Source organism: Homo sapiens, chromosome 10, assembly GCF_000001405.40.
Source record: "Homo sapiens chromosome 10, GRCh38.p14 Primary Assembly".
In the NCBI taxonomy this organism is placed as follows: Eukaryota; Metazoa; Chordata; class Mammalia; order Primates; family Hominidae; genus Homo; species Homo sapiens.
Window position 1 is genome coordinate 130081114 of NC_000010.11, and position 23925 is coordinate 130105038.

Below are 23925 nucleotides of genomic sequence, written 5' to 3' on the forward strand. Positions count from 1 at the left end.
TTCTGAAAGGCTAAAAATAAAAAGGATGGACCAAGGTATAATAGAGAAATAAAAACAAAAAGAGAGCAGGAGCAGATCACATAGAACATAAGCCCAAAGTGTTAAATACAACCAAGGACTTTTTTTTTAATGCTAAAAGCCACAGTTCACAGTGAAGACATAATGCTCATGAACACCTATGAGCCGAATAATACAACCATAACCTTTATCAAACAAAGACTACAGGAGATGTGAGCAAACACGGTTAGAAACATACTAATAACAGGAGGTTTCATACACCATTCTCAGTACAAGGCAGAGCAAGTACACAGAAAACAAGTAAGGAGATAGATTTAAACAACATAATCAACCAAGGTTGACCTTATGGACATATATATTGAACTCTGTACCCTGATAATAGAGTATACACATTCCTCTCAAGAACTCACAGCACAGTTACAACTGATGGCATTAAAGGAAAAAACAATGATTTCTATAGGGTAGAAATGTAGCCAATACTTTCTGATTATAATGCAATAAACTATCAATTATTAACAAAAACAAAAAAACAGAAAGGCACTTCCACCTGGAAATTTAAGAGTCTTATTATTTCTTAGGTCACCAACTGAGAGGAAAGAATTTAAAAAAAAATTACAATGAAAACACTACATATCAGAATCCATGAAATACATTTAAAGCAGTAATCAGAGAAAAATTCAACTCTTGGATAGGATAACCCAACATTATAAAGATGACAGTTCTCCCTAAAAATTAATTTGTAAATTCAATATAATCCCAGTAAAAATCCCAGTAAACTATTTTATAGAGTTATACTAGTTGATACTAACGGTCACAATGAAAAACAAATATGCAAGAAGAGCCAGGAAAACCCTGAAGGAAAAAATAAAACAACTCCTGGACACGAAAACAAACCATAGACACTCCATAATTAAACACAGTGGCACACAAGGAGACAAACAGACCAGTGTGGTAGCATTAAAAGTCCAGATATAAATCAAAATATATATGAAAGTTTGGCTTCAAATCACTGTGATAAGGATGGACTTTTTATACATACATATATGATCTTCTTTTTTTTTTTAGAGATGAGGTCTCACTATGTTGACCAGGCTGGTCTCACACTCCTGGCCTCAAGCAATCCTCCCTTCTTGGCTTCCCAAAGTGCTGGGATTATAGGTATGAGCCACTGTGCCCAGCAGGATGGACTTTTTAATATACGGTCCCAGGACAACTTGGAGCCATTTGGAGAAAAGAAATTTAGATCTGCACCTCACACCATGACATGGTTTGGCTGTGTCCCTACCAATCTCATCTTGAATTGTAGCTCCTATAATTCCCACATGTTGTGGGAGGGACCCAGTGGGGGATAATTGAATCATGGGGGCGGTTCCCCTACACGGTCCTCGTGTTAGTGAATAAGTCTCACGAGATCTGATGTTTTATAAGGGGCTTCCCTTTTGCTTGGTTCTCATTCTCTCTCATGCCTGCTGCCACGTAAGACGTGCCATTCACCTTCTGCAATGATTGTGAGGCCTCCCCAGGCACACAGAACTTTGAGTCCATTAAACTTCTTTTTCTTTATAAATTACCCAGTCTCCAGTATGTCTTTATCAGCAGCGTGAAAACAGACTAATACAACCACATACAAAACCAAACCAGATGCATTAGGGACCTGAATGCAAAAGATCTAATTATAAAGAACTATGCAATTCCTAGGAGAAAATACAAGTGAATTCTCTAATCTTGGTGTAGGGAAAGATTTTCTAACTATGATTCAAAATACAGAGGCAATAAAATCAAGATTGACAAGTTTGACTATATGAAAATAAAAACTTCTGTAAGGCCAAACAAACAAAAAAATCCTAAACAACATCAAAAGATAACTGATAAAAGGGGAAGAAAAATGTTTGCAATATATACCACAGAAAAAGGGTGAATAACCTGAATATAAGAAACTGTTACAAAAGCTGAGCAAAAAAGGACCAAAAACCTGAAAGATAAATGGAGAAAAGACATAAACAATTTAAAAAAGCTATTAAAATGGTCCTCAAACATGAAAAAAAGTGTTCAAATGCACTCATATTTAAAGAAATACAAATTAAGTCAACATCAAGATATCATTTATCATCAGAATGGCAAAAATTGTAGAATGTGGTGTAGCCCCTGTTGGTGAGGCTGCAGGAAAACAGGCACCTCCTGCTTTGCTGGTGAGAATGCAAATTCTTGCAGGGAAATTTGGCAATACAAAGCTATATGCACATTTTTTAACCCAGCAATTACAACTCTAGAATCTACCCAAAACATACACCTCCAACGATATGGGAAAAAAGCACATTTGCACAGTTATTCAATAGTGCAATATATTGGAAACAACCTAAATGCCCCTACACTGGAGAGTGGTTGGATAAACTATGGTACATCCAAGCAACGAAGTACTAGGCAACTGAGAAAAGGAAGAGGAAGATTTCCATGAACTGGTCTAGAGTGATTTCCAGAATACATTGTTAAGTGAAAACAACAAAGTGCAAAAGAGTATCTATAATATGCTATCCTTTGTGTAAGAAAGAAGGGGTTATAAGAAAATGGACACTATCTGCTCATTTCTGCAAAAGAAATACAGGAAGGATATTTGAGAAATGAAAGAGACTGCTTTCCTACAGAGAGTGGATAGGAAAGGGCTGGGGAACAGGGTGGCATGGGAACAGAAATGAAGAGGGAGTGTAGAGCTCTGCATTAAAGCACCAGAGTAACATTTCACATGCCAAAAAGTGAGGGAAAAATGTAAGTAAACCAAGACATAGGGGGAGAGGAACCCAAGTGGAATACAAAAATAATGAACCTAACTACATTACAAATAAGTAACATAGCCACACTGAAAAGAACTACCCCAAATAACTTTTAAAAATACTATTTTGGGCCAGGCATGGTGGCTCATGCCTGCAATCCCAGCACTTTGGGAGGCCAAGGTGGGCAGATCACAAGGTCAGGAATTTGAGACTAGCCTGGCCAATATGGTAAAACCCCATCTCTACTAAAAATACAAAAAAAAAATTAGCCAGGCGTGGTGGCAGGCACCTGTAGTCCCAGCTACTTGGGAGGCTGAGGCAGGAGAATCACTTGAACACGGGAGGTGGAGGTTGCAGTGAGCCAAGATTGCACCACTGCACTCCAACCTGTGCAACAGAGCAAGACTCCATCTCAAAAAGAAAAAAAAAACTATTTTGACTAGAAACTCAAACGCTAAATAAAGACGACAAAAAGCACTGTATAGAAATCCTGTACTCTAGCTAGTAAATGTGTTTATTACAGGGTTAGCAATTTTTGAAATTACTTTATTGGCATTGGATAAATAAGTAAATACACTGTAAATAACAAGAGCAAAGTTTCTCACTGTTTAAGAAATAAGCTACAAATACAGAAAAGGGAGAGGCTACAATGAACCCAGTGGTGTTGCATTAGAATTTTTAATACATATCCAGACAGAGATATAGAAATATATAAAGATATGTATGTGTGAGTTACTGTGTGTGCAGGTGATACACACACACACACACACACACATACATATATATATCCTAGCTGTGTCCACTAAGGACAGTGGCATCCTAGTAGCAAGATTACACTTATCACCTAGAAATTGGTTTCGAAATACCATTTTCCCTTAAAAGGAATCTGGACTCCATGGGAAGCAGCTGATTCAGGGAAGGAGTAGGGAAAATACAAGATGAGCCTCAAACACTTCATAGGCCAAAAACTTAGAAAGTTCTTGTAAAATGAGGGCATGTCAAAAAGACAAAGGCATACACCTGAAGGACTTCCTGTTGGCCAAAGCTGGAATGATTTAAGCAATAAAATAAATAAAAAACAGCACTGGATAATCCACAGAATAAAGTAAATGCCTATTAGTCTACCCATATCAAAAATAATTGAGTAAATAAATAGCTGAAAAGGGAAAGGACTTCCTTACAGTTGAATTCTAATTAACAAATGCAAAAGGAAAGAAGGAAATACATTAAGTAAATACCACAGTAAAAATTATTGCAGGCAAGATCTAATAATAGATGCTAAAATTAGGAGGCAAAAGTTTAAGGAGAAACTGGATGTTTGCACAGCCTCAAACTATCTTCCCCAAGATTCGTATTAATTGTAAAGAGAAAAATAGTAACTTTACCGTGGATAAAACCATCGTAATCAAGTGACAAGGTTAACAACAGCAGTAATGGGACACAATACCATGAACCCTCCTCCGTACAACGTACCAAGATGGCACAACATCACTTCTGCAGTACTCATGCCAAAAATGCGCACCCTGACTCTAATCATAAGAAAATGTGGGACAACAAAATAACTAACCAATAATCACTAAGTGTCGAGGTCCTAAAAGACTGTCAAAGTGTCACAGATTGGAAGAGAGGAAGGAAACACAATAACTAAATGCAATGTGGGATCCTGGGTTAGATCTTGCAACAGAAAAAGGATATTAGAGGAAAAACTGGTAAAATGGAATAAGGTCTATAGTTAACAGTACTACACCAACATTAATTTCATGGCATGCTAACTATACTAAGATCATTAACAAGCTTAAGTGAAGGATGTATATGAACTCTATACTATGTTTTTGCAACCTTTCTGTATGTCTAAAACTATTTCAAAATAACAAGTTTTTTAAAATGAAAAAAAAATATCTTGCATCCCTAATGTGAGAGAAATACTGATCTAAACCAAATTGCCTTCTCACAACCTCAACCCACTGTTTCTAATTATTCTCCTTTGAGCAACATAAAATAAACAAAACCCCTTGTGTATGAGATAAACATTCAGATATTTGATGATCATTCTCAGACACTTTGGAGGCTTGTTCTCTCCAACCAAATATCCCTAGTCTCTCTCACTATTCCATTTCAAAGATGTTCTTCAGACTCTTCATATCCTAGACACCCTAGTCCAGTGTTTCTAAATTGCCAATATCCCGCTTAAAATAAACCACGCAAAATACTTTCAATGCCATGTAACTAGCAGAGTAGAATCACCACTTGCCACTGTGTTTGCACAGGAGAAACCCACACTAGGTCAACAGCCCCAGCAACCACATCACACACAGGTCCATGCGAGCTCACCTCCCCTGCAACCCCCTCAGCTTCTCCACACAAACGTACTCTCTCATTCCTGGGGCTTATTAAGTCGTCTTTGTCTTCCTCTTTTTCTTCTTTTAATTTAACTGTAGGCTCTCCTATGTACACTAGTTAAATCTGATTTCCATGGAATATGTATTTGATTTGTAGCATATCAAAATATATTCAATCCTTATTCTGCCATATATTACAGTAATCGTATTAATCATCCTTAGGACTTTTGCAAATAATGCAGCCTTCTATGTCTTCACCTAAGTTGGATGACAGTTTGAAGAACTAAGACCAAGGCTTTCAATCTCTGGTTATTCAGGATCTGCTCAATCCTTACAGTGCAAAAGGAGGTGTGTTATGTTAAAACTGGTTTGCTGTCAACTTTCAATCACCTGGATTAAAGGGGAAAAGTGGAAATATTAAGTATTCCCCACATAATTTTACAAGTTTCAATTTTCCCCCATCAGTAACACCATAGTCGGCTAATAGCAATAATATTATTTCCCTTCCTCTTTTCTCAATAACACAGGACTTACTCAAAAGGAAAGCAAACAGGCATGCATGAATATGAATGAGAACCTGTACTTTCTGGATGAAATTTACAACACTTATGAAACTATATTCTACACCTTTTCTGTGTGGTTGAATGGCCCTTGGCACATTAAGGTCAGCAGACTTGTGATTATCTGCAATGAAAAGCTGACATTCTTCAAGGGGCGCAGGGGGCTGAAGGGCCAGGGTCCCGACAGCCTGTAGTAGGAGAAAGGAGAGCCAAGCCATACTCTGCCACCAAGGCGAGCAGAGTGTGGGTTCTAGTAGGGAATGTGAGGATGACATCTCAGTGGCACTCAGCCAGCACAGTGAATTAATTTATTCATATTTTCTGTTACTTACTGTGGATTATTGAGAGCTGACCACATACGATACTGATCTATACACTTACTTGGGAAATAGTTCAGTTGTCATGGATGGGCCTGGACCAAAGAAAAATGACTGCCACAGAGGCATTTACATCTGGGGCTGCTTACGTTGAACGAGAAGATCTGTCAGCCTTCGCAAAGGCAGATGAAGGCTTATGCCAAGCTAAAAAGACACTTGTACTATATGAACGAAATGAAAATCCTAAGTATACACAAGGACCCCATTACATAACAATAACTAGAATAGATCAAGTGACCAGCATCCTCATCAGAGAAAGGTGAAGCAGGAGCGTGGCCGAGAAATAGACGCTGTTTCAAACGATGCTAAATTAAAATAGCAAACAGGGATGGTGCTGCCTCAATGATAGAAACACACGAAGCTGCCACAGATCTCAGGAAGTCTTGCTGCCTGTCCTGAGGAGGCAAGACCAACCATTTGTTGAGGGGGACTTCTTCCTTTTCCGGAGGTGATGGTCCCAAGTGAGCTTAATGAGTGAAGTGTCTATAAGGGATAGGGGGTTGAAGACCTAACAGTTTGCCAGAGATGAGATTCAAAGCTTTGGTTTCTGTGCTGAGAAGAGCCAGCCCTTATATGAACCAGACAGGGGACATCTCCCCAAAGCCCCTAGAAACACACAGCAGAGCCAGAGAACACGGAGCAGGGTGAGCAGAGCCCAGCGCCAGCTCTGCCACCGGTGGGGCTCTGCCATGCTGGCAGCCTCCGCTCTGGGCTCAAGAGGAGGGTGGAGAATAGAGAAGAGGCATGGTTCTCTGACCTCTTCAACAGAAAAGCACCACATACTCTCTTCAGTCAGCAAAGCAAGAAAATGGCACACTCTTCAACATCAAACACACTGAATTAAGCATATGTATTACATGTGTTAACACGTGAGCGAGCATATGAGTTAAGCAAATATACAGCAAATTAACATACCAAAGGAGCTAGCCAGGTGCAGTGGCTCACTCCTGTAATCCCAGCACTTTGGGAGGTCAAGGCGGGTGGATCACCTGAGATCAGGAGTTCGAGACCAGCCTGGCCAACATGGTGAAATTCCGTCTCTACTAAACATACAAAAAATTAGCCAGGCGTGGTGGCACGTGCCTATAATTCCAGCTACTCAGGAGGCTAAGGAAGGAGAATCACTTGAACCCGGGAGGCAGAGGTTGTAGTGAGCCAGGATCGCGCCATTGCACTCCAGCCTCAGCAACAAGAGCGAAACTCCATTTCAAAAAAATAAATTATATAAATAAAATACCAAAGGAAATCATTAGAAATCAGTAATGCAATTAATAAGTCCACAAGAAAATATATTTTATATAAAATAATCTAATCTTTCATTTTGAAGGTATTTTGAGAATTTTTATTGACTAATGGCCCTTATGCCGAAGATCATTTGTAGTGTAAGTGTATAATGCTGGGTAATTCAGTCCTTAGGTACCAGGAACAGTCAGCTGAGGGAGGTTTCTTTGGTTCAGTTTAGTTCAAGTCCTACCATGATAAAGTTACTTCTGCAGGATGGAGCAGCTGATACGGATGCCCATTGGTCTGAACACAGAACAGGTAATGCTGGATGGAACAAGATTGAGAAGGCGCCACAGATTGCCATTTAGAAAGAAAGCATTCTTTCCATCAAGTAAAGATTCCTTTCCTATGACATTTTCATTTGGAGAATGACCTTGTACTCTTAGGAGGTTTCTTTCTATGACATTTGGTACTGCATCAACTAAGGAGGGCCAGAAGTTAGGATTCTCACACTGAACTCCTGCATTACCAGGGCACACTGGGGCTTTACCAACAGGATCTTAACATCTTGATACTGTGACCTTTTTTAAAAAAGACTCCTCAGCCTACTATGCTCGAGCTTTCAGTCCACACTCTTGACCAAGTCTAGCTTGGCGAAGAGAAGGCAAGTTCTGATATGAGCAAGCCAACACTCAAAGTAAGAGGGCAACTGAATTCTAGGGGAGTGAGTTATCTTGAGATAATGGAGAAGATTAAGGAAAAACCACTCTTCTACTTTGATTCTGAAAAAGACATAAATGAACACATTGGACTTGTTGAGGATTAATTTTAGGCTTGCAAGGTTTACCAAGCACACTGTAAACCTAAGTTATAGTCCTGAATAAATTAAGGATCTTAAGGAAAGCAGTTATGCACATTTACTTGCAACAGGCAGAGCCTAATAAATGTCCTCTGCATTTATAGAAAACTAGTTTAGATGTTTCCACATTTGTTATTTCATTTGATCCTCACAATAATCCTGTGACAATGGAGGGATATGGAGTTTTATTTCTATTTTATAGATGAGGAAAAAGAAGTAAAAAAAAACCTTAGCCAACTTGCCTGAAGTCTGGTGATATGAAATGACTGAGCTGGGTCAGCTGGGTCTTGAGTCTGCTTTCAGGCTAAGTGGAGAAATAAGACTGAAAAATACAACTAAAGAAGCACTAGAAACTAAACAATGTATAAAAAAGACTTCAAAACTTAATATAATAGAAACTTAATATACAGCTCCAGTAATCAATATGGTATTGGCATAAGGATGAACATACAGGTCAATGGCACAGAACTGAGAGTCCAGAAATGAACCCTTATATTTATGGTCAAATGATCTTTGACAAGGGTGCCAAGAAAATTCAATGGAGAAAGAACAGTCTTTAGAAGACATGGTGCTGACACGATTCAATATCCACATGTAAAAAGATAAAGTTGGCCTCTTGACATATATCATGCACAAAAATTAACTTGAAATGGATCAGAAGCCTAAATGTAAGAACTAAAAGTGTAAAATTTTTAAAGGAGAACATAGGGAAAAAAAATCCTTATGATCTTGGAATAGGCAAATATTTCTCAGATACAACACCAAAAGAATGATCCCTAAAAGAAACAAGTTGAAAATTTGGATTTCATCAATATTCAAAGGTTTGGGGCTTCAAACAACACCATTAAGAAAGTGGAAGCTGGCAAGATGGCCAAATAGGAACAGCTCCAGTCTGCAGCTCCCAGCAAGATCAATGCAGAAGGCGGGTGATTTCTGCATTTACAACTGAAGTACCTAGCTCATCTCATTGGGACTAGTTATACAGTGGGTGCAGCCCATGGAGGGACAACTGAAGCAGGGTGGGGCATCGCCTAACCCGGGAAGCACAAGGGGTCACGGAACTCCCTCCCCAGCCAAGGGAAGCCGTGAGGGAGTGTGCCATGAGGAACGGTGCACTCCAGCCCAGAAACTATGCTTTTCCCATGGTCTTCGCAACCCACAGACCAGGAGATTCCCTCGGGTGCCTACACCACCAGGGCCCTGGGTTTCAAGCACAAAACTGGGCGGCCATTTGGGCAGACACCAAGCTAACTGCAGGAGTTTTTTTTCATACCCCAGTGGCACCTGGAACACCAGTGAGACAGAACCATTCACTCCCCTGGAAAGGGGGCTGAAGCCAGGGAGCCAAGTGGTCTAGCTCAGTGGATCCCACCCCCAAGGAGCCCAGCAAGCTAAGATCCACTGGCTTGAAATTCTCACTGCCAGCACAGCAGTATGAAGTCAACCTGGGATGCTTGAGCTTGGTGGGGGGCGGGCGGGGCATCTGCCATTACCAAGGCTTGAGTAGGCGGTTTTCCCCTCACAGTGTAAACAAAGCCTCCAGGAAGTTCGAACTGGGTGGAGCCCACCACAGTTTGACAAAGCCACTGTAGCCAGACTGCCTCTCTAGATTCCTCCACTCTGGTCAGGGCATCTCTAAAAGAAAGGCAGCAGCGCCAGTCAGGGGCTTATAGATAAAATTCCCATCTCCCTGGGGCAGAGCATCTAGGAGAAGGGGCAACTGTGGGCACAGCTTCAGCAGACTTAAACGTTCCTGCCTACCAGCTCTGAAGAGAGAAGCGGGATCTCCTAGCACAGCACTCAAGCTCTGCTAAGGGACAGACTGCCTCCTCAAGTGGGTCCCTGGCCCCTGTGCCTCCTGACTGAGAGATACCTCCCAGCAGGGGTTGACTGACACCTCATAGAGGAGAGCTCCAGCTGGCATCTGGCAGGTGCCCCTCTGGGACGAAGCTTCCAGAAGAAGGAACAGGCAGCAATCTTTGGTGTTCTGCAGCCTCTGCTGGTGATACCCAGACAAACAGGGTCTGGAGTGGACCTCCAGCAAACTCCAGCATACCTGCAGCAAAGGAGCATGACTCTTAGAAGGAAAACTAACAAACAGAAAGCATCAACATCAACAAAAAGGACATCCACACAGAACCCCCATCCAAAGGTCACCAACATCAAAGACCAAAGGTAGATAAATCCATGAAGATGAGGAAAAACCAGCACAAAAAGGCTGAAAATTCCAAAAACCAGAATGCCTCTTCTCCTCCAAAGGAATACAACTCCTCGCCAGCAAGAGAACAAAACTGGAGAGAGAATGAGTTTGATGAGTCAACAGAAGTAGGCTTCAGAAGATGGGTAATAACAAATTTCTCTGAGCTAAAGGAGCATGTTTTAACCCAATGTAAGGAAGCTAAGAACCTTGAAAAAAGTTAGATGAATTGCTAACTAGAATAACCAGTTTAGACAATAACATAAATGACCTGATGGAGCTGAAAAACACAGCACGAGAACTTCATGAAGCATACACAAGTATCAACAGCCAAATCGACCAAGCCAAAGAAAGGATATCAGAGATTGAAGATCAACTTAATGAAATAAAGCATGAAGATAAGATTAAGAAAAAAGAATGAAAAGGAATGAACCAAGCCTCCAAGAAATATGGGACCATGTGAAAAGACCAAACCTACATTTGACTAGTGTACCTGAAAGTGACAGGGAGAATGGAACCAACTTGGAAACCCTCTTCAGGATATTATCCAGAAAAACTTACCCAACCTAGCAAGACAGGACAACTTTCAAATTCAAGAAATACAGAGAACACCACAAAGATACTCCTTGAGAAGAGCAACCCCAAGATACATAATCGTCAGATTCACTAAGATTGAAATGAAGAAAAAAATGTTAAGGGCAGCCAGAGAGAAAGGTTGGGTTACCCACAAAGGGAAGCCTATCAGACTAACAGCAGATCTCTCAGCAGAAACCCTACAAGCCAGAAGAGAGTGGGGGCCAATATTCAACATTCTTAAAGAAAAGAATTTTCAACCCAGAATTTCATATTCAGCCAAACTAAGCTTCATTAAGTGAAACATAAATAAAATCCTTTACAGACAAGCAAATGCTGAGAGATTTTGTCACCACCAGGCCTACCTTACAAAAGCTCCTGAGGGAAGCATTAAATATGGAAAGGAAAAACTGGTACCAGCCACTGCAAAAACATACCAAATTGTAAAGACCATCGACAGTATGAAGAAACTGCATCAATTAACGGGCAAAATAACTAGCTAGCATCATAATGACAGAATCAAATTCACACATAACAATATTAACCTTAAACATAAATGGGATAAATGCCCCCAATTAAAAGACACAGCCTGGAAAACTGGATAAAGAGTCAAGACCCATCGGTGTGCTGTATTCAGGAGACCCATCTCACCTGCAAAGACACACATAGGCTCAAAATAAAGGGATGGAGGAATATTTACCAAGCAAACGGAAAGCAAAAAAAGCAGGGTTACAATCCTAGTCTCTGATAAAACAGACTTTAAACCAATGAAGATCAAAAAAAAGACAAAGAAGGGCATTACATAATGGTAAAGGGATGAATGCAACAAGAAGAGCTAACTATCCTAAGTATATATGCACCCAATAGAGGAGCACCCAGATTCATAAAGCAAGTTCTAAGAGACCTACAAAGAGATTTAGACTCCCACACAATAATAGTGGGAGATTGTAACACCCCATTGTCAATATTAGATAGATCAACGAGACAGAAAATTAACAAAGATATTCAGGATTTGAACTCAGCTCTCGACTAAGCAGACCTAATAGACATCTATAGAACTCTCTACCCCAAATCAGCAGAATACACATTCTTCTCAGCACCACATTGCACTTATTCTAAAATTGACCACATAATTGGAAGTAAAACATTCCTCAGCAAACGCAAAAGAACGGAAATCAAAACAGTCTCTCAGACCACAGTGCAATCAAATTAGAATTCAGGATTAAGAAATTCACTCAAAACCGCACAACTACATGGAAACTGAACAACCTGGTCCTGAATGACTAATAGGTAAATAACGAAATTAAGGCAGAAATAAATAAGTTCTTTGAAATCAATGAGAACAAAGACACAATGTACCAGAATCTCTGAGACACAGCTAAAGCAGTGTTTAGAGGGAAAGTTATAGCACTAAATGCCACAGGAGAAAGTGGGAAAGATCAAAAATTGACATCCTACCATCACAATTAAAAGAACTAGAGAAGCAAGAGCAAACACATTCAGAAGCTAGCAGAAGACAAGAAATAACTAAGATCAGAGCAGAACTGAAGGAGATAGAGATACAAAAAAACCCTTCAAAAAAATCAATGAATCCAGGAGCTGATTTTTTGAAAAGATTAACAAAATACATAGGCCACTAGCCAGACTGATAAAGAATAAAAGAGAGAAGAACCAAACAGACACAATAAAAAATGATAAAGGGGGCCAGGCGCGGTGGCTCACACCTGTAATCCCAGCACTTTGGGAGGCCGAGGCGGGCGGATCACGAGGTCAGATTGAGATCGTCCTGGCTAACACAGGTGAAACCCCATCTCTACTAAAAATATAAAAAGTTAACCAAGTGTAGTGGCGGGCACCTGTAGTCCCAGCTACTCAGGAGGCTGAGGCAGGAGAATGGCATGAACCCGGGAGGCGGAGCTTGCAGTAAGCCAAGATCGTGCCACTGTACTCCAGCCTGGGCAACAGAGCGAGACTCCATCTCACCATTAAAAAAAAAAAAAAATTATAAAGTGGATATCACCACTGATCCCACAGAAATACAAACTACCATCAGAGAATACTATAAACGGCTCTACACAAATAAACTCAAAAATCTAGAAGAAATGGATACATTCCTGGATACATATACCCTCCCGAAACTAAACCAGGAAGAAGTCAAATCCCTGAATAGACCAATAACAAGTTCTGAAATTAAGGCAGTAATTAATAGCCTACCAACCAAAAAAAGCCCAGGATCAGACAGATTCACAGGCAAATTCTACCAGAGGTACAAAGAGGAGCTGGTACCATTCCTTCTGAAACTATTCCAAACAACAGAAAAAGAGGGACTCCTCTCTAACTCATTTTATGAGGCCAGCATCATTCTGATACCAAAATCTGGCAGAGACACAACAAAAAAAGAAAATTTCAGGTCAATATCCCTGATGAACATTGATGTGAAAATCCTCAATAAAATACTGGCAAACTGATTCCAGCAGCACATCAAAAAGCTTATCCACCACAATCAAGTTGGCTTCATCCCTGGGATGCAAGGCTGGTTCAACATACACAAATCAATAAATGTAATCCATGACATAAGCAGAACCAATGACAAAAACCACATGATTGTCTCAATAGATGCAGAAAGGGCCTCTGATAAAATTCACCAGCCCTTCATGCTAAAAACTCTCAATAAACTAGGTACTGATGGAATGTATTTCAAAATAATAAGAGCTATTTATGACAAACCCACAGCCAATGTCATACTGAATGGGCAAAAGCTGGAAGCATTCCCTTTGAAAACCAGCACAAGACAAGGATCCCCTCCCTCACCACTCCTATTCAACATAGTATTGGAAGTTCTGGCCAGGGCAATCAGGCAAAAGAAAGAAATAAAGGTATTCAAATAGGAAGAGAGGAAGTCAAGTTGTCTCTGCTTGCAGATGACATGATTGTATATTTAGGAAACCCCATTGTCTCAGCAAAAAATCTCCTTAAGCTGATAAGCAACTTCAGCAAAGTCTCAGGATACAAAATCAATGTGCAAAACTCAAAAACATTCCTATACACCAATAATAGACAAACAGAGGGCCAAATCATGAGTGAACTCCCATTCACAATTGCTACAAAGAGAATAAAATACCTAGGAATCCAACTTACAAGGGATGTGAAGGACCTCTTCACAATTGCTACAAAGAGAATAAAATACCTAGGAATCCAACTTACAAGGGATGTGAAGGACCTCTTCAAGGAGAACTACAAACCACTGCTCAAGGAAATAAAAGAGGACACAAACAAATGGAAAAACATTCCATGCTCATGGAAAGGAATAATCAATATCGGGAAAATGGCCATACTGCCCAAAGTAATTTATAGATTCAAAGCTATCACCATCAAGCTACCACTGACTTTCTTCATAGAATTAGAAAAAACTACTTTAAATTTCATATGGAACCAAAAAAGAGCCCGCATAGCCAAGACAATCCTAAGCAAAAAGAACAAAGCTGGAGGCATCACGCTGCCTGACTTTAAACTATACTAAAGGCTACAGTAAACAAAACAGCATGGTACTGGTACCAAAACAGACATACAGACCAATGGAACAGAACAGGGGCCTCAGAAATAACGCCACACATCTACAACCTTCTGATCTTTGACAAAGCTGACAAAAACAAACAATGGGGAAAGGACTCTCTATTTAATAAATAGTGTTGGGAAGACTGGCTAAGCCATATGCAGAAAACTGAAACTGGACCCCTTCCTTACACCTTATACAAAAATTAACTCAAGATGGATTAAAGACTTAAACATAGGACCTAAAATCATAAAAACCCTAGAAGAAAACCTAGGCAATACCATTCAGGACACAGGCATGGACAAAGACTTCATGACTAAAACACCAAAAGCAATGACAACAAAAGCCAAAATTGATGAATGGGATCTAATTAAACTAAGGAGCTTCTGCACAGCAAAAGAAACTATCATCAGAGTGAACAGGCAACCTACAGAATGGGAGAAAATTTTTGCAATCTCTCCATCTGATGAAGGGCTAATATCCAGAATCTACAAGGAACTTAAACAAATTTACAAGAAAAAAATAAACAACCCCATCAGAAAGTGGGTAAAGGACATGAACAGACACCTCTGAAAAGAAGACATTTATGAGGCCAACGAACATGAAAAAATGCTCATCATCACTGGTCATTAGAGAGATGCAAACCAAACCACAATGAGATACCATCTCACGCCAGTTAGAACGGTGATCATTAAAAAGTCAGGAAACAACAGATGCTGGAGAGGATGTGGAGAAATAGGAACGTTTTTACACTGTTGGTGGGAGTGTAAATTAGTTCACCCATTGTGGAAGACAGTGTGGCAATTCCTCAAGGATCTAGAACCAGAAATACCATTTAACCCAGCAATCCCATTACTAGGTATAAACCCAAAAGATTATAAATCATTCTACTTTAAAGACACATGCACATGTATGTTTATTGCAGCACTATTCACAATAGCAAAGACTTGGAACCAACCCAAATGCCCATCAATGACAGACTGGATAAATTCTTGGCAAACTAACACAGGAACAGAAAACCAAACACCACATGTTCTCACTCATAAGTGGAAGTTGAACAATGAGAACACATGGACACAGGGAGGGGAACATCACACACCCACACACTGGGGCTTTTCAGGGGGCAGGGGGCTAGGGCACAGATAGCATTAGAAGTAATACCTAATATAGATGATGGGTTGATGGGTGCAGCAAACCACCATGGCACGTGTATACCTATGTAACAAACCTGTACATTCTGCACATGTATCCCAAAACTTAAAATATATTAAAAAAAAAAAGAAAACGAAAAGACAAGCCACATTCGTGGAGAAGAAATGTTTACAAATCATATATATGATACAAGTATCCAGAAAATATATATATATAAAATTTAATTTTTTAATTTTTTTTTTTTTGAGACAGAGTCTCGCTCTGTCACCCAGGCTGGAGTGCAGTGGCGTGATCTCAGCTCACTGTAACCTCTACCTCCTGGGTTCAAGCGATTCTCCTGCCTCAGCCTCCCAAAATGCTGGAATTACAGGCATAAGCCACTGCACCCAGCCCAGAATATATTAAAAACTCAACTTGACAAAAAGACAACACAATTTTTTAAAGGGGCAAAAGATGTGAAGAGTAATTTCCCCAATGAAGATATATGAAAGGTCAGTAAGTATATGAAAAGATGCTCAACATCAATACTACAGTGATGGCCAGGCATGGGCGCTCATGCCTGTAATCCCAGCATTTTGGGAGGCTGACTTGGGAAGATCATTTGAGGCCAGGGTTTGAGACCAGCCTGGGCAACATAGCAAGACTGTACCTCTACAAAAAAAGTAAAAATAAAAACTGCAGTGAGATACTGCTCCGTATCTACTAGAATGACTATATATGAAGATGTGGACAAAATGGATCCCTCATATGTTGGTGGTGGGCATGTAAAATGGTGTAGCCACTTTGGAAAATATTTTGGCAGTTTCTTAGAAAGTTAAAAATAAATTTACCATAGAAACCAGCAATTCCAGCCCTAAGTATCCATCTAAGAGATATGTTCACACAATGATCGGTACCTATGTGAATTTTCAGAATTTTCTGCACTATTCATAACCAAAATGAATGGATAAACAGAACGTGTTCTATTCACACAATGGAATATTATACAGCCATAAAAAGGAGCACACTACTGATCTATGCTTTATCTGGATGAACCTTGAAAACATGATGCAAACTGAAAGAAGCCAGCTGCAGGAGACCCTATCAGGTATGACTCCCTTTACAAGAAAGTTCCAGAAAAGGCAAATCCAGAGAGAGAAAGTCAGTCAGTGGTTGCCTGGAGCTAGGGGTGTGAACAGAGTGACTACCAATGGCCAGAGATTTTTCTGAAGTGAAGAGAATGAAAACTGGGTGGTGATAGTTGCACAGCTGTAAATTTACTAAAAACCACTTAATTACACACTTAAAAAAAAAAAAACTCTAAACCTGGCCAGGCATGGTGGCTCACACCTGTAATCCCAACACTCTGGGAGGCCCAGGCAGGAGGATCACTTGAGGCCAGGAGTTCGAGACAAGCCTGGCCAACATAGGGAAACCCTGTCTCTACTAAAAATACAAAAATCAGCTGGGCATGGTGGCACGTGCCTGTAATCCCAGCTACTCTGGAGGCTGAGACATGAGAATCACTTGAGCCCAGGAGGCGGAGGTTGCAGTGAGCTGAGATCACACCACTGCACTCAGGCCTGGATGATAGAGGGAAGCTCTGTCTCAAAAAACAAAAACAAAAAAAACTCTAAACCTAAATAACACGGTCTTGGTAACTGCCAAGAGAGAAATCTAAAAAGATAGTAGCTATGTGATGATAATGAAGGGTGACCATGTGGCACGCTGATGGCGTTTTCCCCAAATGAATTATAATTTTCCCTAAACAAAGATGTTTTGAAAATACCAACAATTTTATGCATTTGCTTAATCCTCCTTTCACCAATTCTCAGTTAAACACACACACACCCTCACGTGTCAGTCAACCAAAAAGCCTTTCCTGAATACCTACTATGTGCCCCACTCAGTTCTGGGCACTTGGTAATTAAAGAACCAGAAGCCAAGGCAGAGTCCTTCCAGGGTCAGTGCTGGACACAACAGACACCTGAAGAGGTGGCTAACCACAGAAAATGGCCTCCTTGCCGATCCTAACCTCATTGTGACTTTCTGTGTCATATATAAAGAAACCTGCCAAAAATCAGAAATGATTGGCTGGGCGCGGTGGCTCATGCCTGTAATCCTAGCACTTTGGGAGGCCGAGGTGGGTGGATCACTGAGATCAGGAGTTCAAGACCAGCCTGGCCAACATGGAGAAACCCCATCTCTACTAAAAATACAAAAATTAGCCAGGCGTAGTAGTGCACGCCTGTAAAATCTCAGCTACTAGGGAGGCTGAGGCAGGAGAATCACTTGAACCCAGGGGGCGGAGGTTGCAGTGAGCCAAGATCATGCCACTTCACTCCAGCTTGGGCAAAAGAGTGAGACACCATCTCAAAAAAAAAAAAGAAAAAAGAAATGATTGAGTGTAGGCATAACTGGCAGGGTGAACACCTGTATTAGGGTTGTAACCAAAGATGAATTATCATTGATCAATTTCCTATATCTACATGGGAGGATAGTGGAATCTCATTAAACTGAGTATAACAGATAGTATAATATAGCTCAACAGATTGTTTCCAAAATACAAAATGGGTGAGAGAATTAAATAGCTTGCTTCTTGAGGAATGGGTGATAATTATTGAGAAGGAGAAGAGTGACCACAGAAGGCAAAATGAGGGCTTCTGTCAGGGGCTGCATCATCAGCTGGTTATTTACTAGGTTCTCACGGCAAAGATCTTACTCAGCAGATGAGCTATAAAATCTGCAACCAATGGGGTAAAACAAAGATATTTAACTCTGAATCTTCTTCTTTTATTTTTATTTATTTATTTATTTATTTATTTATTTATTTATTTATTTTGAGACACAGTCTCACTCTGTCGCCCAGGCTAGAGTGCAGAGGCATGATCTCGGCTCAGTGCAACCTCTGCCTCGTGGGTTTAAGTGATTCTCCTGCCTCAGCCTCCTGCATAGCTGGGGACTACAGCCGTGTGACACCATTTTTGTATTTTTTGGTGGAGACGGGGTTTCACCATGTTGCCCAGGTTGGTCTTGAACTCCTGACCTCAAGTGATCCGTCCGCCTCAGCCTCCCGAAGTGCAAGGATTACAGCCACCACGCTCAACCTAAATTTTTTTTATTTTTTCTTTATTTTTTTTTTTTTAAGATGGACTCTCACTGTCACCCAGGCTGGAGTGCAGTGACGTGATCTTGGCTCACTGCAACCTCCGCCTCCCAGGTTCAAGCGATTCTCCCACCGCAGGCTCTTGAGTAGCTGGGATTACAGGCACGCGCCACCACACCCGGCTAATTTTTGTATTTTTAGTAGAGACGGGGTTTCACCATGTTGGCCAGGCTAGTCTCGAACTCCTGACCTTGTGATCCACCCAACACAGCCTCCCAAAGTGCTGGGATTACAGGTGTGAGCCACCGCGCCCGGGCTTCATTTTCTTTTAAACTCTGACCCAAACTGTATTATCCAACTTCCTCTTTGGGCCAATCTGGACCAACAAGATTTACTCTCCTGCATGAACTGACCAAAAATGGACAAAACAGGGCGAGGCACAGTGGCTCACGCATGTAATTCCAGCACTTTGGGAGGCTGAGGCAGGTGGGTGACGAGGTCAGGTGTTCAAGACCAGCCTGGCCAACATGATGAAATCCCATGTCTACTAAAAATACAAAAATTAGCCAGGCGTGGTGGTGCGTGCCTGTAGTCCCAGCTACTCGGGAGGCTGAGGCACGAGAATTGCTTGAACCTGGGAGGCGAAGGTTGCAGTGAGCTACTGCACTCCAGCCTGGGCAAGAGAGGGAGACTCTGTCTCAAAAACAAAAACTGCCAAAGAACAGACACAGATGTTAAATTTAGCAGAGAAGAACATTAAAAGAGTTAATATAACTGTATATGTACAAAATATTAAACAAAACACGGAAGATATTTTTTAAAAGATAAAAATCAAATGTTATGAGATCCAAATCAAATGCTATAATGTCTGGGATTAAAAATGCACTGGATGTAATTAGTGGACGGCTAGACATTGCAGAAAAAAAGATTCATGAACTTGAAGGCACAGCAGTAGAAACAATCAAAAATCAAACACAGAAAAGAGATTTTTAAAAGTAGACATAGCATCAGGGAACTGTGGGACAACTATCAAGAAGCTTAATAGATGTGTAGTGGGAGTTGTAGAAGGAGAGGGGAGAAAAGGGACAGAAAAAATGTTGAAAGCTATAATAGCTGAGGCCGGGCATGGTGGCTTACATCTATAATCCCAGCATTTTGGGAGGCTGAGGTGGGTGGATCACCTGAGGTCAGAAGTTCAAGACCATCCTGGCCAACATGGTGAAACCCCGTGGCGACTAAAAATACAAAAAATTAGCGGGGTGTGGTGGAGCGCACCTGTAATCCCAGCAACTTGGGAGGCTGAGGCAGAAGAATCACTCGAACCTGAGAGGCAGAGGTTGCAGTGAGCCAAGATCGTGCGACTGTACTCCAGCCTGGGCAACAGAGACTCTGTCTGGGGAAAAAAAAAAAAAAATCTATCTATTTATCTAGGCTGAAAGTATACCAAATTTGATGAAAACTATAAACCCAGAGATCCAAGAATCTCAGTAACCCAAGCACAGAACCATGAAGAAAACTATATGAGAGCACGTGATGAGCAGTTCAAAGCCACAGGTCAAGGGCAACCTTAAAGGCAGCCAGAGACAAGAGACACGTTCAACACTGAGGAGCAGAGAGAGGGTGGCTGCAGCTCTTTCATTGGAAGCAACTGTGTCAAGACAGTGGAGCAACATTTTTATATTACTGAAAGAAAAAAACCTATCAATTTAGAATTCCACACACAGTGGAAATATCTTTCAAAATAAGGATAAAATTAAGATTTTTTTGACCGGGCATGGTTGCTCATACCTGTAATCCCAGCACTTTGGGAGGTGGAGGCGGGCGCATCATGAGGTCAGGAGATTGAGACCATCCTGGCCAACATGGTGAAATCCCATCTCTATAAAAATACAAAAATTAGCTATGGTGGCAAGCATCTGTAGTCCCAGCTACTTGGGAGGCTGAGGCAGGAGAATCTCTTGAACCCGGGAGACAGAGATTGCAGTGAGCTCTCTGCAACTCCAGCCTGGTGACAGAGGGAGACTCTGTCTCAAAAAAAAAAAAAACCAAAAAAAAAAAAAAAAAAAACTTTTTCAGAATATAGAAGTTAAAAAAAAATTATCACCAGCAAACCTGTCCTATAAGAAATGTTTAAAAAAAATTCCTTCAGGCAGAAAACAAAATTGAGGCCAGGCATGGTGGCTCATGCCTGTGATCCCAACACTTTGGGAGGCTGAAGCCAGGCAGATTGCTTGAGCCCAGGAGTTTGAGACCAGCCTGGACAACATGGTGAAAATCTGTCTCTACAAGAATACACAAAAATTACCCGGGATGGGGTGCCATGTGCCTGAAGTCCCAGCTTATGTTTATTGAGCCTTCCTTTATGGCCCAAAATATAATTAGTCTTGGGAAATTTGTTTTCTGCTGTTTTTGAGTGAAGAGTTCTATAAATTCCAAGTAAGTCAGGCGGTTTGATATTCGTTTATTATTTTTATTTTTTTTTGAGACACTCTCACTCTGCCACCCAAGCCGAAGTGCAGTGGCGCCATCTCAGCTCACAGCAACCTCTGCCTCCAGTGGTTCTCCCACCTCAGCCTCTTGAGTAGCTGGGATTATAGGCGCCTGCCACCACATCCAGCTAATTTTTTGTATTCTTAGTAGAGATGGGGTTTCATCATGTTAGCCAGGCTGGCCTCAAATTCCTGACCTCAAGCGATCCGCCCACCTCGGCCTCCCAAAGTGCTGGGATTAAAGGCGTGAGCCACTGCACTGGCCAGTAGTTTAGTTTACATTTTCTATATCCTTAATAATTTTCTTCATATATCTATCAATTTTTGTGAGAAGATACTGAAACTTACTAATATAATTGTGGATTTGCCTATTTTTCCTTGCAGTTCTATCAGTTTTTGCTTCATGTATTTTGAAGCTCTGTTGTTAGATGCATAAACATTGATGAATTTTATGTCCTCTTGATGAATTGACTTTTTTAATCACTATGAAATCACCTTTTATATCCATGGTAATATTCTTTACCCTGAAATTGACTTTGTCTTTTATTAATATAGCAACTCCACCTTTCTTCTGGTCAGTGTTAGCGTGATTTTTTTTGCGTCCTTTTATTTATCTATTGCATCTTTATATTTATAGTGAGTTTCTTATAGATGGACTTATAATTGAGTCTTTTTTTTTTTTTAAAAGATTGTGTTTCGCTCTTGTTGCCACCCAGGCTGGCGTGCAATGGTGCGATCTCGGCTCACTGCAACCTCTGCCTCCCGGGCTCAAGCGATCCTCCTGCCTCAGCCTCCCAAGTAGCTGAGATTACAGGCATGAGCCACTACGCCCAGCTAATTCTGTATTTTTAGTAGAGACGGGGTTTCTCCATGTTGGTCAGACTGGTCTTGAACTCCTGACCTCAAGTGATCTGCCTGCCTTGGCCTCCCAAAGTACTGGGATTACAGGTGTTGAGCTACCACGCACAGCTGAGTCTTGATTTTTTAATTCTCTGCCTTTTCCTTTGGGTATTTAGTTTTATCTCTACTAAAATTAGAAAAATTAGCTGGCACACTCCTGTAGTCCCAGCTACTTGGGATGCTGAGGCAGAAGAATCACTTGAACCCAGGAGGCAGAGGTTGCAGTGAAACCAGATGGCACTGCTGTACTCCAGCCTGGGTGACAGACCGAAACTCTGCCTCAATAAGTAAATAAATACATACACACTTGTACACGAGGCCAGGTGCGGTGGCTCATGCCTGTAATCCCAGAATTTTGGGAGTCCAAGGTAGGCGGATCACTTGAGCCCAGGAATTTGAGACCAGCCTGGGCAACATGGCAAGATCCCGTCTCTACAAAAAAGTTTTAAAAAATTAGCTGGGCGTGGTGATGCTTGCCTGTAGTCCCAGCTACTCAGGAGGCTGAGGCAGGAGGATCGCTTGAACCCAGGAGATTGAGGCTGCAGTGAGCCATCATCGCTCCACTGCACTGCAACCTGGGCAACAGAGCAAAATTCTGTCTCAAAAAGAAAACAAAAAAAAAAGCTAGAAAGAAGGATCTTGAATCAACTCATATGACACCAGAAAAAAAAAATATTATCGACTTGATTTTCCAGCCCAGGTATCTAAAATGTTGCTCTACCCAAGAAACCTGGTCTTCAGTGAGTTCTTTAGGGAGAAGAGTCTCAGCAAAGATGAAAGACTAAGTGGACATGAATCTTTAGGCGTTCTAGGCAGGCAACTTTCAATCTGAAACACATGAGTGTGGCCAGGGTGTGGTAAGCAGGGGCACTTACTGTGTAAAAAGCCGAGCACTGGAGTTGCAGAGTAAGCCTCATCATGAGTTGCAGGATAAACGTAAGCAAGGCCTCTACTCATCGTTTCTTCATCTCATCTCCAGTGCCTAGGACAGGGCTTGAGACACAGCAGGCGCTCAAAACATGTCTGCCCAATGGAAACGATAAAACACTACTGTCATTGAACTATGACACATGTGACCACGCTAGCTAACTGGACTGCAAGGAAATGCACAGTGATAAGACACTCGCATCACAGCAGAGGTGCTTCACTCTGGCCCTGCCCGAGAATCACCTGCAAAGTCACTACAGAGATGGGTCCTGGCTGCTGTGTTTTCCAAAACTTTGCTGGTGGTTATGTGCAGAGTACAGAGCCTCTAGGCTGGGAACAGAAGTAAGAAACTAGTTACCGTTCCTCAGTAACCAAATTCTGGAGACGCCTGTGAGAGAGAAATACACAGAGAGGCAGAGAGAGGACAGAAAACTTGGTAGAACTTGGATACTTTATTGAACTCAATCTGGATTATTAAATCAAAGACTAGGACACAATACAACATAAACAAAACTTTATCAAATTAAGAGGCAATATACACCATGCCAATAAGATACCCAACTCATTATTCTTTGGTAACAGTCAAGAAGTATTGCAACCTGAAGCCTGGCACTCCATTTCAGCAATTCCAACCTGATAGATCATTCAGGGTGTCTTCCATTAAACCTTCCCTGTTCGCTCTGATCAATAATGACCTCTGGCTCCCCTTCCCTGACAGCCCACAGCATCACACTTTTCATCATTTTATGATAGCCAATTTAGGACTTCATTGTGAAGCTTTGTGGGTATATTTTATTTTTACTTTTTTATTTGAGACAGAGTCTCACTCTTTCATCCAGGCTGGAATGCAGTGGTGTGATCTCGGCTCACTGCGACCTCTGCCTCACGAGTTGAAGCAATTCTT

The 23925-nt window shown here is 41.1% G+C and overlaps 1 protein-coding gene across 6 annotated transcripts in view; it reads right to left on the bottom strand.

The window, feature by feature from the left end:
- C10orf143 (chromosome 10 open reading frame 143) overlaps window positions 1-23925 on the bottom strand; it is a 75706-nt gene that overhangs the window by 45989 nt on the left and 5792 nt on the right. For 2 of the 6 annotated variants that reach the window (XM_024448007.2, XM_024448008.2), the window contains exon 2: window positions 10043-10201. The exons of 3 other annotated variants lie outside the window; for them this stretch is intronic. In XM_024448007.2, the coding sequence (XP_024303775.1) occupies window positions 10043-10201 (159 nt within the window). Of the gene's footprint in view, window positions 1-10042; window positions 10202-19980; window positions 20099-22969; window positions 23118-23925 lie in introns of all 6 variants that reach the window. One more of the 6 variants, NR_034125.2, reaches the window with a different exon arrangement.